At 42.8% G+C, this 16525-nt stretch overlaps 1 protein-coding gene across 5 annotated transcripts in view, besides 3 other annotated features; it reads right to left on the bottom strand.

The window, feature by feature from the left end:
- Positions 266–365: an enhancer, noted in NCBI's record as "active region_13220". NCBI's record gives its function as "activates an Ori minimal core promoter by ATAC-STARR-seq in GM12878 lymphoblastoid cells {active_cell/tissue: GM12878}" and the evidence as "EXISTENCE:reporter gene assay evidence [ECO:0000049][PMID:35858748]".
- Positions 1988–2488: an enhancer, noted in NCBI's record as "H3K4me1 hESC enhancer chr18:32731753-32732253 (GRCh37/hg19 assembly coordinates)". NCBI's record gives its function as "activates a minimal SCP1, AML or CMV promoter by ChIP-STARR-seq in naive H9 embryonic stem cells {active_cell/tissue: H9 hESC(naive)}" and the evidence as "EXISTENCE:reporter gene assay evidence [ECO:0000049][PMID:30033119]".
- Positions 10807–16525, bottom strand: part of MAPRE2 (microtubule associated protein RP/EB family member 2) — a 166444-nt gene continuing 160725 nt past the window's right edge. For all 5 annotated transcript variants that reach the window (NR_046177.2, NM_001143826.3, NM_001143827.3 and 2 more), the window contains one exon: positions 10807–13982. Coding sequence is in view for 4 of the 5 variants with exons in the window: in NM_001143826.3 (NP_001137298.1) it covers positions 13908–13982 (75 nt within the window). In the remaining variant the exon portion in view is untranslated. The remainder of the gene's footprint in view (positions 13983–16525) is intronic.
- Positions 14477–15472: an enhancer, noted in NCBI's record as "H3K4me1 hESC enhancer chr18:32718769-32719764 (GRCh37/hg19 assembly coordinates)". NCBI's record gives its function as "activates a minimal SCP1, AML or CMV promoter by ChIP-STARR-seq in primed H9 embryonic stem cells {active_cell/tissue: H9 hESC(primed)}" and the evidence as "EXISTENCE:reporter gene assay evidence [ECO:0000049][PMID:30033119]".

The raw sequence follows: 16525 nt of genomic DNA, 5'->3' as shown, positions 1-16525 counted from the left end.
TTAGGTAGTGTTAGCCTCTTTCTTGGCTACATATTTTAAATTTAAAGGGAGCCTCTGTTTGGTAATGATCACTTCCTGTTTCTTCTTGAGGAGGCAGTCAACGCTTCAATATACCCATCTTTTTCAGTAAAGAAATGTGATCATGAATGAAACCCTTCCTGTGAAGCAGCAGTCGATTCCCTTTGTGGTTTCCGGGGTTTGGGTTCTCCAGAGGAGCAAGATGAATGGGTGAAATGACCACAGACCTCCATACGATGGATGAAGCCTGGAGTAGAGTGCTGCTCTTGTCCTGCGTGTGGCCTCTGTGGAGTCCCCTTCGCAGGCCCTCTGCCTCATCCACCCTTGGTCAGCCTTCAGCTTCCCATCCAGAGCCTGGGGTCTCCTCTTGCCCATCATAGAAAGCAAGTACAGTTCCTACCTCAAACCAATCTCATTACACAAGGGCTGGTCTTGTCAGGCTATGTCTGGGCTAATGATATGACCAAATCCCTCAGCATGCTATTTTAAAAACAGGAACAAGTGACTTGAAGAACATATGAATATTTTTTTTTTTCCCGAGACGAAGTCTCGCTCTTGTCCCCCAGGCTAGAGTGTGATGGCGCGATCTCAGCTCACTGCAACCTCCGCCTCCTGGGTTCAAGTGATTCTCCTGCCTCAGCCTCCCAAGTAGCTGGGATTGCAGGCACCTGCCACCACGCCTGGCTAATTTTTGTATTTTTAGTAGAGATGGGATTTCACCATGTCGGCCAGGCTGGTCTCAAACTCCTGACCTCAGGTGATCTGCCCGCCTCGGCCTCCCAAAGTGCTGAGATTACAGGTGTGAGCCACCGCACCCGGGCCCAGACACATGAATATTCTTAAAATATCTTGAAGGCAAGAGGGACCACGTCTCATACCATTGTCACCTTTTCTATTCTCCTCTCTCTTTCCTTAAGAAGGAAAACTACATAAAAGGACTCCCATGGAAAACGGGAGTCAACCAGGGAGCGGAAGCCCATACTGGCACAGCTTGGAAAGCTACAACTGTTCAGGAGCTCTCATTCTAGGTTTTCCAAAGCTTATAATAAGTTTAGGCCTACAAGCACATACATATTGGGTTTGGGGGCACTTCTATACATAAATCCACTTTTTTCTTTTTTGGCTTTGTGGAATGCAGGACAGTCATACAAGAAAATGGGAGACGCATTCACAGCAGCTTGGAAACCAGTTTGGGTCACAGAACATCACAATGAAGCATAGCTGTGTGGTCCAAAGTATTGCTTTTAGGTTGTACGTAAACTGGCTATTATGTAACAAAATCGTGTGTTCTAACTAGGAGTTACCCACACTGTAAAGTATTTGCTTAGTTAAAAAATGGTGGAGATACTATATGCCTGTCAATTTCTACCACCGTCTTCTCAGGAGAGATAAATTCTTACATTTGAGCCTTTTTAGATCTACTGTGGATATGACAAACACAACCATTCACTCTGTGCCTATTAAATCTTTGGCTTAAAAGGAATGGTTCTCATCCAGAAGTAAATGGTATCCAAACTTTTGAGAAAGTAAAACTAAAGAAAACCCTGGGTGCTGTGGTGATGATGTCTTAGGTAATGACTGGGAAACATCTTGTGATATTTCAAAACCATTCTCCCAAGAAAAACTGAAAATAGACAGCTCCGGTCTGTAGCTCCCAGCGAGACCAATGCAGAAGGCGGGGGTGATTCTGCATTTCCAACCTAGGTACCCAGTTCCTCTCATTGGGACTGGTTAGGTAGTGGGTGTGACCCACTGAAAGCTGCAGAAGCAGGGTGGGGCGTCGCTTCACCTAGGAGGTGCACAGAGCCCGAGACCTCCCTCCCCTAGCCAAGGGAAGCAGTGAGGGACTGTGCTACCTGCCCGGGGTACTACACTTTTTTCACGGAATTTTGTGATCCACGAATCAGGAGATTCCCTCCTGAGTCTACACCACTAGCGCCCTGGGTTTCAAGCACAAAACTGGGCAGCTGTTTGGGCAGGCACTGAGCTGCAGGATTTTTTCATTGTCCAGCAGCACCTAGAACTCCAGTGAGACAGGACAACCGTCCACTCCCCTAGAAAGGTGGCTGAAGCCAGGGAGCCAAGTGGTCTCGCTCAACAGGTCCCACTCCCATGGAGCCCAGCAAGCTAAGAACCACTGGCTTGAAATTCTCACTGAGGGCACAGCAGTCTGGAGTTGGACTGGGATGATTGAGTTTGGTGGGAAGGGGGGCGATGGCCATTACTGTGGCTTTAGTAGGTGGTTTTCCCCTGACAGTGCTAAGGAGACTGGGAAGTCTGGACTGGATGGAATTCCCTACAGTGCAGCAAAGCGGCTGTGGCCAGACTGCTTCTCTAGATTCCTCCCCACTGGGCAGGGCATCGCTGCAGGAAATACAGCAGCTCCAGGCAGGGGCTTACAGACAAAAACTCTCATCTCTTCGGGGCAGAGCACCTGCGGGGAGGGGCGGCTGTGGTCGCAGGTTCAGTGGACTTAGCCTTTCCTGCCTGCCGGCTCTGAAGAGAGCAGCTGATCCTGACAAGGGAGATTCTCTCAACACAGCGCACCAGCTCTGCTAAGAGACAGACTGCCTCCTCAAACGGGTTCCTGACCCCTGTGACTCCTGACTGGGAGAGACCTCCCAACAGGGGTCGGCAGACGCCTCATACAGGAGAGCTCTGGCTGGCATCAGGCCCGTGCCCCTCTGGGACAAAGCTTCCAGAGGAAGGAGCAGGCAGCAATCTTTGCTGTTCTGCAGTCTCCACTGGTGATACCCAGGAGAACAGGGTCTGGAGTAGATCTTCAGCAAACTGCAGCACACCTGCAGAAGAGGGGCTTGACTGTTAGAAGAAAAACAAACAAACAGAAAGCAGTAACATCAACATCAACAAAAAGGATGCCCACGCAAAAACTCCATCCAAAGGTCATCAGCCTCAAAGACCAAAGGTAGATAAATCCATGAAGATGAGGAAAAACCAGTGCAAAAATGCTGAAAATTCCAAAAGCCAGAATGCCTCTTCTCCTCCAAATGATCGCAACACCTCTCCAGCAAGGGTGCAGAACTGGACAGAGGATGAGATGGACCAATTGACAGAAGTAGGCTTCAGAAGGTGGGTAATAACAAACTGCTGAGCTAAAGTAGCATGTTGTAACCCAATATAAAGAAGCTAAGAACCTTGATAAAAGATTACAGGAGCTGCTAACTAGAATAACCAGTTTAGAGAGAAACATAAATGACCTGATGGAGCTGAAAAACACAGCATGAGAACTTCATGAAGCATACACAAGTACCAATAGCTGAATCGATCAAGCAGAAGAAAGGATACCAGAGTTTGAAGACCACCTTGCTGAAATAAGGCATGCAGACAAGATTAGAGAAAAAAGAATGAAAAGGAATGAACAAAGCATCCTAGAAATAGGGGAATACGTTAAAAGACCAAACCTACAATTGACTGGAGTACCTGAAAGAGACAGGAAGAATAGAATGAACACACTTCAGGATATTATCCAGGAGAACTTCCTTAATCTAGCAAGACAGGCCAACATTCAAATTCGGGAAAGACAAAGAACAGCACTAAGATACTCCACAAGAAGATCAACCCCAAGACACATAATCGTCAGATTCTCCAAGGTCGAAATGAAGGAAAAAATGTTAAGGGCAGCCAGAGAGAAAGGTCAGGTCACCTACAAAGGGAAGCCCATCAGACTAACAGTGGATCTCTGGGCAGAAACCCTACAAGCCAGAAGAGAGTGGGGGCCAATATTCAACATGTTAAAGAAAATAATTTTCAACCCAGAATTTCATATCCAGCCAAACCAATCTTCAATAAGCAAAGGAGAAATAAAATCCTTTCTAGACAAGCAATTGCTAAGGGATTTCATCACCACCAGGCCTGCCTTGCAGGAGCTCCTGAAGGAAGTACTAAATATGGAAAGGAAAAACTGGTACCAGCCACTGCAAAAACACACCGAAATATAAAGACCAATGACACTATGAAGAAACGGCATCAACTAGCGTGCAAAATAACCAGCTAGCATTATGATGATGGATCAAATTCACACATAACAATATTAACCTTAAATGTAAATGGGCTAAATGCCCCAGTTAAAAGACACAGGCTAGCAAATTGGAAAAAGAGTCAAGCACCATTGGTGTGCTGTGTTCAGGAGACCCATCTCACGTGCAAAGACATACATAGGCTCAAAATAAAGGGATGGAGGAAAATTTACCAAGCAAATGGAAAGCCAAAAAAAAAAAAAAAGAAAAAGAAAAAAAAAAGCAGGAGTTTCAATCCTAGGCTCTGATAAAACAGACTTTAAACAAACAGAGATCAAAAGAGACAAAGAAGGGCATTTAAGGGATCGATGCAACAAGAAGAGCTATTTTAAATATATATGCACCCAATTCAGAAGCACCCAGATTCATAAAACAAGTTCTTAGAGATCTACAAAGAGACTTAGACTCCCTCACAATAATAGTGGGAGACTTTAACACCCCACTGTTAATATTAGACAGATCAACAAGACAGAAAATTAACAAGGATATTCAGGACTTGAACCCAGTTCTGGATCAAGTGGACCTAATAGACATCTATAGAACTCTCCACCCCAAATCAACAGAATGTACATTCTTCTCAGTGCCACATGGCCCTTATTCTGAAATCGACCATATAATTGGAAGTAAAACACTTCTCAGCAAATGCAAAAGAACTAAAATCATAATAAACAGTCTCTCAGACCACAGTGCAATAAAATTAGAACTCAGGATTAAGAAACTCACTCAAAACCACACAACTACATGGAAATTGAACAACCTGCTTCTGAATGATTCCTGGGTAAATAACAAAATTAAGGCAGAAATCAAGAAGTTCTTGAAACCCATGAGAACAAAGAGACCACGTATCAGAATATCTGGGACACAGCTAAAGCAGTGTTTAGAGGGAAATTTATAGCATTAAATGCCCACATCAGAAAGCTGGAAAGATCTCAAATCGACACTCTAACATCACAATTAAAAGAACTAGGGAAGCAAGAGCAAACAAATCCAAAACAGAAGACAAAAAAAAAAAAACTAAGATCAGAGCAGAACTGAAGCAGATAGAGACAAAAAAAACAAAACAAAACAACAACAACAAAAAACCCTCCAAAAAATCAATGAAACCAGGAGCTGGTTTTTTGAAAAAATTAACAAAATAGACCGCTAGCTAGACTAATAAGGAAGAGAGAAGAATCAAATAGATACAATAAAAAATGATAAAGGGGATATCACACCACTGACCCCACAGAGATACAAACTACCAACAGAGAATACTATAAACACCTCTGCGCAAATAAACTAGAAAATCTAGAAGAAATGGATAAATTCCTGGACACACGCACCCTCCCAAGACTAAACCAGGAAGAAGTCAAGTTGCTGAATAGATCAATAACAAGTTCTGAAACTGAGGAAGTGATAGCCTACCAACCAAAAAAAGCCCAGGAGTAGACGGATTCACAGCCAAATTCTACCAGAGGGACAAAGAGGAGCTGGTACCATTCCTTCTGAAACTATTCCAAACAATTGAAAAGACAGGACTCCTCCCTAACTCATTTTATGAGGCCAGCATCATCCTGATACCAAAACCTGGCAGAGACACAACAAAAAAAGAAAACTTCAGGCCAATATCCCTGATGAACACTGATGTGAAAATCCTCAATAAAATAATGGCAAATGGAATCCAGCAGCACATCAAAAAGCTTACAACCTCACGATCAAGTCAGCTTCAATCCTGGGATGCAAGGCTGGTTCAACATAATGCAAATCAATAAATGTAATCCATCACATAAACAGAACCAATGACAAAAACCACATGATTACCTCAATGGATGCAGAAAAGGCCTTTGATAAAATTCAATATCCCTTCATGTCAAAAACTCAATAATCTATGTATTGATGGAACATATCTCAAAATAATAAAAGCTATTTATGACAAACCCATAATCAATATCATACTGAATGGGCAAAAGCTGGAAGCATTCCCTTTGAAAACTGGCACAAGACAAGGATGCCCTCTCTCACCACTCCTATTCAACAAAATATTGGAAGTTCTGGCCAAGGCAATCAGGCAAGAGAAAGAAATAAAGGGTACTCAAATAGGAAGAGAGGAAGTCAAATTGTAAATTGTCTCTGTTTGCAGAAGACATGATTCCATATTTAGAAAACCCATTGTCTCAGCCCCAAAACTTCTTAAGCTAATAAACAACTTCAGCACAGTCTCAGGATACAAAATCAATGTGCAAAAATCACAAGCATTCCTATACACCAACAATAGACAAGCAGAGCATCAAATCATGAATGAACTCCTGTTCACAAATGCTAAAAAGAGAATAAGATACCTAGGAATACAGTTTACAAGAGACATGAAGGACATCTTCAAGGAGAACTACAAAGCACTGCTCAAGGAAATAAGAGAGGACACAAACAAATGGAAAAACATTCCATCCTCATGGATAGGAAGAATCAATATCGTGAAAATGGCCATACTGCTAAAGTAATTTATAGATTCAATGCTATTCCCATCAAACTACCATTGACATTCTTCACAGAATTAGAAAAAACTACTTTAAATTTCATATGGAACCAGAAAAGATCTGTATAGCCAACACAATCCTAACCAAAAAGAACAAAGCTGGAGGCATCACCCTACCTGACTTCAAACTATACTACAAGGTTGCAGTAACCAAAACAGCATGGTACTGGTACCAAAACAGAGATATAGACCAATGGAACAGAACAGAGACCTCAGAAATAACACCACACATCTACAACCATCTGATCTTTGACAAACCTGACAAAAACAAGCAATGGGGAAATGATTCCCTATTTAATAAATGGTGCTGGAAAAACTGGCTAGCCATATGCAGAAAACTGAAATTGAACCCCTTCCTTACACCTTATACAAAAATTAACTCAAGATGGATTAAAGACTTAAATGTAAAACCCTAAACCATAAAAACCCTAGAAGAAAACCTAGGCAATACCATTCAGGACATAGGCATGGGTGAAGACTTCATGACAAAAACACCAAAAGCAATTGCAACAAAAGCCAAAATTGACAAATGGGATCTAATTAAACTAAAGAGTTTCTGTACAGCAAAAGAAACTAGCATCAGAGTGAACAGACAACCTACAGAATGGGAGAAAATTTTTGCAATATACCCATCTGACAAAGGTCTAATATCTGAATCTACAAGGAACTTAAATTTACAAAAACAAAACAAAACAAAACAAAAAACCATCAAAAAGTAATCCCAGCACTTTGGGAGGCTGAGGCAGGCAGATCACCCAAGGTCAGGAATTCAAGAGCAGCCTGGCCAACATGGCAAAACCCTGTCTCTACTAAAAATACAAAAATTATCCGGGTGTGGTGGCACGTGCCCATAATCCCAGCTACTCAGGAGGCTGAGGCAGGAGAATCGCCTGAACCCGGGAGGCGGACGTTGCAGCGAGCCGAGACTGTGCCATTGCACTCCAGCCTGGGCAACAAGAGCGAAACTCCATCTCAGGAAAAAAAAAAAAAAAAAAAGAGTGGGCAAAGGATGTGAACAGACACTTCTCAAAAGAAGACATTTATATGGCCAAAAAACATGAAAAAAAGCTCATCATCACTGATCCTTAGAGAAATGCACATCAAAATCACAAGGAGATACCATCTCGCTCCGGTCAGAATGGTGATTATTAAAAAGTCAAGGAACAATAGATGCTGGCGAGGCTGTGGAGAAGTGAGAATGCTTTTTCACTCTTGGTGGGAATATAAATTAGTTCAACCATTGAGCAGGATAGTGTGGTGATTCCTTAGGGATCTAGAACCAAAAATAGCATTTGACCAAGCAATCCCATTACTGGGTATATACCCAAAGGAATATAAATCATTCTACTATAAAGACACATGCACATGTATGTTTATTGAAGCACTATTTACAATAGCAAAGAGATGGAACCAACCCAAATGCCCGTCAATGAAAATGGATAAAGAAAATGTGGTACATATACACCATGGAATATTAAGCAGTCATAAAAAAGAATGAGATCATGTCCTTTGCAGGGCCATGGATGAAGCTGGAAGCCATCAACCTCAGCAAACTAACACAGGAACAGAAAACCAAACACATGTTCTCACTCGAAAGTGGGAGCTGAACAATGAGAACACATGGACACAGGGAGGGGAACAACACACACCAGGGCCTGTTGCAGAGTGGGGGGTCAAGGGGAGGGAGAGCATTAGGACAAATACCTAATGCATGTGGGGCTTAAAATCTAGATGACGAGTTGACAGGTGCAACAAACCACCATGGCACATGTATACCTATGTAACAAACCTGCACATTCTGCACATGTATCCCAGAACTTAAAGTAAAATATAAAAAAAAAAGTTCTGGGGTAAAATTCACATTTTCCTTCTCTGCATTTTTTTTTTTTTTAAAGCTCAGGTGACTGGACAATGTCTTTGTTTGCAGGACAGGATGGCCTCTGAGCCTATCTTGACATAACTTAGCCTAAAAGAAACTAACATTTGGCTTGGTTTTCTGTGGTCTTTTTCTAAAAGATCTTTCAAGCTGGAAGAAAAACTGTTCCGTTAGAAGTTCATGTTTCATCTACATAATAAATATATCAGATTAGAAGACAGCATCCTAGTAGTAAGTTCCAAACACATTTATGAGACCTTTTCATTACTTTTTAATTTCCAAAGTTTCATTTAAGCTCTCAGATTTGACAAAAACCATTTTACTAAACATATTTTTTTTTATTGTATATGGATAACCTTCAAGACCTAAAGAAATACCATAGTGTAAAAATATGAAGGATGTTAGCTACACAGAAGGAAACATGTACTTAACTTTTTTATTCTCTAGAAAAGAAAACATTTAGGTCTTGGGTTAGTTTCCTACTGAGAATCGTAAATTCAAAGGTACATTAATACATCATTACCCTTTAAAAACAATTTATCACCAGGCTTGATGATAAAATCGTTGCAAAATACCACAAGAAACCTGTTTTAGAAATTAAAACTTGGAAGCTAAAAAGTTAAACATTTTTTTTTTCCAGTGAATTGAGAGAAAAAGGCATCCAACAAATTAACTTCAGCTGGGTCTTCCATTTTGATGACATTTGTAAACCCAAAACAGAAGCACAGCCTCAGTAAATGCACCTTCTGTGTACTCGTAATCTATACAAGACATGGGGTCTGGCTCAGAGTTGGGGGGTCTGCCCGTGGGGCAGTCTTGTGATCCAAAGTACCAATGCCACGTGAGGGTCCTCCAGGGATCAATGGATTTTCTCCTCAGCTTTGCTTTCCTTTAGGCAAATAAAGCCAGGATTCCTCTAATGAGTGGAAAACATCTTTTATGAGTTCCTAGTTTGGCAAGACAGGAGCTATTAGACATCCACGGAGATGTTTTTATCCATCATTTGTGCTATTTGGCAACATTGCCTCAGTGCTGAGAAACTGGGTCAGTAAAAGTTATTACTAGTGATAGCAGCCTTAATTAATGATCATAGTTGTGTTCTAGCAGTTAAAAGGAATAAAACAAGTCAGAAACCAAGTTGTCTGTGTGTGTTTTAGAGAACTGGCATTTTGTAACTCAAATTCAATGGAATTCCATTAACTTTTTTGAGAAGGGGTGTCTCTGGACTTGAGCCTATCCATAGTACCAGAAGCAACAAATTTTTAGAAATGATGTCAGATTTAATAAAATAGAACAAGCATGTTATTTCGCCACCTTTGAACCATCAGTGACAGATTTACTAGAGTCCACCAGTGTACATTTTGTAAGATGAATCACATGTATTTTTGTCTGTGCACAAATGTCTAAGATCAAGTGTTTAAAACCCCAGAGTTCGTGGATTAAATGGGAAACACACATGTACTTTGAGCATGAAATTTCAAACCCAGGTAATGGCTCACAAACTTCTGTCACAAGTGGTGTACCTTGGGAGGAAATGAATGTAGATGGAGAAGAGGGGTAACATCTTTGCTTTCTGTTATTTTCCCACTTATTTTAATAGAAATGTGCCTAAAGGCAAGTGACTGGAAAATAGTGGCCAAAGGACAGTAGAGAAACCAAACTGGCCTCTAGGTGGTGCTTGGAAGCAGCGTAGGGAAGGCTGGCACTCTTCACGGTGAAAAGGGTATTAGCTGAAGCCCAGTAACCTGCAGGCTCCAGGGTAACGTCTGCATCCCAGTGTGGCCTGCTCTGCAGTCTCCACAGGTGATTACTGGGCCAGTTGAAATACATTTCTCTTTTCACCTATTCCTGTATCTGTTAAATTGTTATTACAATTATAGCTCATGTCGATAAATCATTGCCGTTTAAAGTCAACAAACACTTATTCAAAGGGTTTTTGTCAAGCAGGTCATTCTGCCACAAAGCTGTACTTAGAAACATCTGCCTGCTTCTCCCACAGTTTCCTATTTGCCCAGCACTGTCTTGTCCAGATGGAGTATGCTGGACCTGCAGGAGCTAGGATTCTGTTTGCTTGCAGGTGGAATGTTTCCCAAGGGAATGTTTTCTCTTTATGTCTTTTTTTTTTTTTTTTTGGTAAAGTTTTTAAAAGGTATTATAGCTGCTACATTTGATATCAAATACGAGTCTGTAACTCTTGTTAACAACATTGGCCATCAATAAAAACAAAGACAACCCCCGCCCCGGGGAAATCATAATAAAATGTGGGTAGATGTGTAAATCCACACAAATCTATTCCTATTCACATGCTGACTGAAAAGGGAAGCTTCAGCATAAAAATTTAAGAATCTGTAACTCCAGGCAGATTTTAACATATACTTTTTTTTTTATTAAATATGTAAAAAGATCAATGCAAGTCAAGTTATTCACATATTCAGAGACAAAAAACTATTCTACCATGCGACAATAGGTGGGTAATGTAAAATGAATGTGATACATCTGAATAAGACTTTTTCATCTATTATGTCATTACTTATCTATATTTATAATTAACAATACATATGTTTACATTCCTTTCAGTTTACATTTAATATATAACAAAAGCTTTATGGTGTCCTATTTAGTAAAAGTAATCTGAATGCATATTAAACCTTAACGGAATAATGGAAATACTCACCAGGGAAGGGAAGAGTTCTTGGTTCCCTTCTGGAATTTACTTCTCTCAGGTCAACAGGTGTTTTTCTTTCTTTTTTTTTTTTTTTTTTCCTGCTTTTCTGCTTAGAACAAATATGGGCTTTCTCTTTGCCCCCTGCTTCGATCACTTCCTATCTGACAGTAGCAGTGGAAGTGCTATAACCAGCCGACAGCGGGCACGAGGGGGGGTACTAAGGATGAAACTGGGCTTCCTGAGAGGGAGAAGTGGAGCACGCAATCAGGGACGCTTCCTGCCCAGCCCGATGACATGTGACCAGGGGCCGCTAAGGAAACTGTTCCCTGAATGCCGAGATGAGAGAATAATGGGGTCCCACCATCCATGGGAAATGAGGGGGGATCTGCAGAGGCTGGAGGTGCAGCCTAAGAGGACTGACTCAAATTCAGCTGTTAAAGATTCCCCAAAGCATCTGAGACACCATCTGGGGTGCAGCACAACAGAAGACGTTTAAGATGGGACCAGAAAGAAGAATGTATAGCTCTTCTCTAAATAAACGAATGGTCTGCCCCAAGCCTTCAGGAAGGAGAATGGTCTATGGTGACTGGGGAAAGTTCTCTTTGCAGGCTAAGAGATCTGGCCAGCATGTTTATAACTGAGAAGGCTGGGGAGCTGGAGGGCAATGGAGTGGTTCCTGCAAGAGTCACCAGGGAGGCTTATGCAAGTTATACAGCAGTAAGGGGTTGCTGGAGAAGGCAGGATCCTGACTCCCTGCTACCCACTCACGTGCATCCACATGACAGGAGTTTGGTCATGATCCACTGAGCATTGGGTATGACTGAGATGTCCAGAGCAGATGAAGAATGGCCTAGGAACCACTGCAGTATCAGGTGCATAGAGTTATTGTGACCTTTTACAAGAGCTATTTTTTGTTTTTAAAGAGATCAGTGAGTACAACAGGCTCAGAAGGGCAACACGCTGTTAAGCATGATGCTGGGTATAGCACAGCCACTACTACTTGTGACCAGGTGTGGGAGGACGTCACTGCCGAGAGCCAGGCTGTCCAGCCTTAGAGAAATAAGCTGCTGCTATAATGCAGAGTGAGCAGGAGAGAGAAGAAAGGGAAACCAAACACCACGGAACATCTGTCTAATTCTGCACAGTGTGTTGTAATAATCTGAAAAATACAAGCCATCTTTTCCACATAACTCAATAAATATCACTTTGCTGCAAAAGATTTATTTTGGAGAGACTTCTTTTGGTGAAAAGCTTCAATGCTAGAATTTAGAATTCATATTTCATCGATTAATAAAGAAATTTCAAAGCTTCAGGATACATAATTCAGAAATTTATTTTAAGCTTTTCAGTTAAGCGGAAAGTGGGGTGGGCACATTTGTTTCTTGTTTTTGTTGCACCTGCTAAGTCAAATAACAAGTGAAAGTAAACCTAAAGTTAGAAACCAAGGTGAAATGAATGATCCAGGAAGGGATACCATCTGTCAAAGGAAAAAATAAAAATAAAGAAAAAAAAGAGGCAAAGACTTGGAAAGAGACTAAGAAAATGTACAAATATTAGTTAAAAAATAAGGAATGCTTTTAATTCATTAATGTTTCCTCTATTTATGAATTGCCATGGTTTAGCTAAGGTCAATGACAAGGAGGGCCCTTGTGTTAAAGAGGGAAAATTCTTTATTCTAGAAGATATTGGGAGTCATAGATTTTTCTGTGCTGTTATTCCAGTGTCTACACCAGACTGCAGAACCATGATTCTCCCTCGCAATTATGCTCCTATTAATAAGGTCTTCACTTCTAGCCTTACAGCAAGTGTGTGGCATGGTGCAGAGCCTTGGAGCTCAGGGCTGCACACCTGAAGTTACCCTTTAGTAGGGGTCCCCTAGAGTGAATGACAGTTTTGTGGCTGAAACCTACACAAAGAGGAAGAGGAATGAGGCAGGAAGACCCGTACCTAACCATACCCTCTTTGGACTGCAGAAAACTGATGGCAACATCTCGGGGAGTGGCTGCCCACCAAAGAGGACCCTGAGAAAGAAAAGAGCATAACCTGGGAAATGGGCTACATGGGGGCAAGGGACATGGTGAGCGGGCAAAGTTGAGATGGTGTTTTCCTTGAGTGAATGTCTTTCAAAACTAACAACATACTGTGTAGTTGTCTAACATGCTGATGGAGGAACACTGCTGGGCCCTGAAATCCTAGCTTTGAATCCATTTTTTCCCTTTAGTATTGTGAGTAGAGGGAGAAAATGACCTTATGTTTTCCCCCACGACACAAGTCACCGTCATTATGGCTTTCATATCAAGTATCTGTTTCCCTTTGTTCCAATTATTTGACCAAATTTATGTTCAGAGGTTAGACTTGCAAACATCAAAGCACCACAAATGTGTGTGACATCTAGTGACACTGGGTTGAAAAATGCCAATATAAATACCATATATCAAATTACCATTGTTTCACACCAGGATAAAAAGAGGGGTGGTGGCAGTGGTGTTGGGGTGGGAAAGAGTTGTTCTGGAAAGAAATGAAGAAAAGAGCAGAACCAATCTCAAGCAGCCAAGTGGTGAAGTTGGATGTATGTGACCCTACGATCTCTCGGGTAGGTGGCCAGAGGGCCGTCCGCTAATACACCTTGGCAAAGAAAATGGGAACCAAGCGCAGTGGCTGGCATATGCAACAGTGCGTTGATGGTAACGGCAGATTGGGAACAACTGGTTTCTGTTGAGCTTGGGGCCACACATGTTCCAATTCTCCAGAAGAAACGTTCCCACACACAATGGAAGTGTCAAGAGCAGCCGGGGTGGGTCAGTACTCTTCCTGCTGCGGGGGCTGCTGTTCGTGGGCTTGCTCCTCTGCTTCCGGCTCTTCTGTGTGGCCCTCCTGTGGGCAGGGGAGAAGTTTCAGCTGAGATAATTGACTGGGAATGGGGCCCTGCAGCATCCCAGCCCATTGCCACTGCCAGCATGGCGTCTCAAGGCTGTGGAGGGCACCAGGCTTAGTTAGGCACAACTCGCCATGCAAACGTCTCCCAGCTTCCGGTGTCTGATACATATGCAGGGGCGCCTTAGCTTCCCCATGTGATCAAAGAACAGATCATTCTAGAAAGCACAGTCGTCAGGCTTTAGGCACCCAACTATTTTGTTTTGGAAGGAAATCTTCTTAGAATACATGGCATACTTTCCTAACCTTTGTAAAAGAGTAAACCAAACACAGTGATCCAAGAGCATCATGACAACCATGAGTAAAGCTGCTGTAATATAAAAGCAGCACCCCTGGCCTCCATGGTATTTTGGTGGGGGGTGTCACTCCTCACTAATGGATAGGGATGTGGGCTTTTGCTCCATTTCCTAGTCCCTCCCTTGCTGTCATTCTTCTTGCTCGGCAGTGTCGCCCTGAAGGAGACCCTTTGTTATGTTACTAACCTGATGTAGGCTTAGATACCAGAGCAGCAGTGTTAGAGGTTCCCAGGCTAAGGAAAGGACAGCAGCCACATTTCATGGGTTGTCCCAGGCAAAGAGGCCCCTCCCAATGAGGGAGCTCAGGAGCTTTAGCTCAAGGACTTTGGGACATCTACTTAGACTGCTTGGGGCCCTTTTGGCTTACGTTATGTTTATCAACTGAGAATCAGATAGGTGAATTGTTCTTCCCACTATTTAGAAATAAACAGCCCTATTTATTCCTTTATCTAACCCAGTGAAGCATGGCATGAACACCAACTCCAGGGAGCACTAGCCTCAGTCAGCCGTATCTGTACATTCATTCATTTTCTGAACTCACACAAAATATTTGCTGTTTTTTACCCAAGCTGAGGGAGCATGGCTAATCAAAGGAGTTCCCTGTTCCCTCAGTAAGGGCACACAGCTTCTGTGATGCAGTCTGGAGCATGTGCTGGGACATATGGAAGTGCCCATGCCTCGCACACCTGGCACGCTGGCTCCCGAGCACTGAACTGCCCAAGCCCTTCCCTGTCTGTCGGGCCCCTCTTCCTTGGAGCTTAGGACAAACCCATCTTTAGCCAATTCAAATATGGCATGATCACTGAGCCAGAATTCCTTCTCTCTTCTCCTGCAGCATTTGTTTTCTTCCTCTGCTATGACACTGATTTGGAATCTTGTCTTGACCCTTTTGGCCCCACCCACTGGATGCTGAGGTTACTGAGGTCAGGGATCGGATTCTCGGTGCCACATCTTTCTTATGTAAGACTCAATCCATGTCGTGTTGAGAGGAACAAATTGCAGTGGATTCAAGGATGAATGACTGAGACTATCAGACTATCAGCCAAGGTCACGAGCCACTTATTTTCTGAGAGGCAGTAAGTAGAATGTCAAGGTTACAACATGGACTCGAGTTCACATCCCAGCTCTGTTATTTACAGGCCGTGTGGGTTTGGGTCTAGAACTTAACTGCTCTGGGCCCCAGTTTCCTCACCTGTAAAGTTGGGGATAAGGTATCCATGTAGGAGCATTTTCAATGCATTTTCATTAGTCAATGAATCAAAGGACTCCTCGAATCCAACAGAGGAGTTAATGAGTTAAAATAGGAAAAGTGCCTAGAAGAGTATTTGGCACATGGTAAATAGAAATGTGAGCTGTGATTATTATTTCTTAGTGGGAGAACTCTGGAATATATTCTAGAAGTGCAAGTAATTTTTTTAAAAAAGTAACCCTTTCTGTGTCAACCAACAGTAGACAGTGACATTGTGTTGAAAACTTGGGGAAAAATCTGGCATTGTCTCTTACCGTGCCGACAGGCCCCTTATTCAGCAAATGTGAGCTCTCCCTACCCCATGACCACCCTGTGTTCACCACCTAGAACTAGCTCCACTTCTGGAACGTTAGGCCCAATCTCTTGCTCTCTCTGATCACATCATGTGTCTTCCTGACCCTTGCACTCCCAAATTCCTTAATTGCAGGTGCTCTTTGACCTCAGGGAGATCTCAGAGCCCTGATCCCCTCTTTACTCCCCTTCTGCCGGATCGACCCCAGACCCCTGGGCATCACAGCAGCTGTGCTCTTGGCACTTCCTCTGCACACTGCTTTGCCTTCTGTCTGGCACATGTGAGGCTGGTCCTCTCAGCTCAGAGTCAGTGCCTCACCAACAGTGTGGCCATACATGCTCAGGGGAGCAGGAGAGAACTTCTTCTTGGGCCAGCGCAGGACAAGAAACAGTTACTGGCCTTCCTAAGCCAGTGCTCTCCTCTCATCCAAGGGAGAAGAATGAAACTAACATTCATGGGAGTTTAACAAGAATGGTGGGCTGGGAACTCCCAGCTGTCTGTCCCGCCACATGCTCCTCTAAATTATGAGAAAGTCACTCCTCCCTGAAGCCTCTCTCACTGCCTGCAGCCCCGAGATAATGGCTTCCCTCTCCAAGCTTCCTATCCTCAGTTTCTGCTTCGGTGGGAGGGCGCACCACAGTCCCGC

The sequence above is a fragment of the Homo sapiens genome, chromosome 18 (genome assembly GCF_000001405.40).
Source record: "Homo sapiens chromosome 18, GRCh38.p14 Primary Assembly".
Taxonomy (NCBI): Eukaryota; Metazoa; Chordata; class Mammalia; order Primates; family Hominidae; genus Homo; species Homo sapiens.
This window is presented reverse-complemented; position numbering and strand designations above follow the sequence as displayed.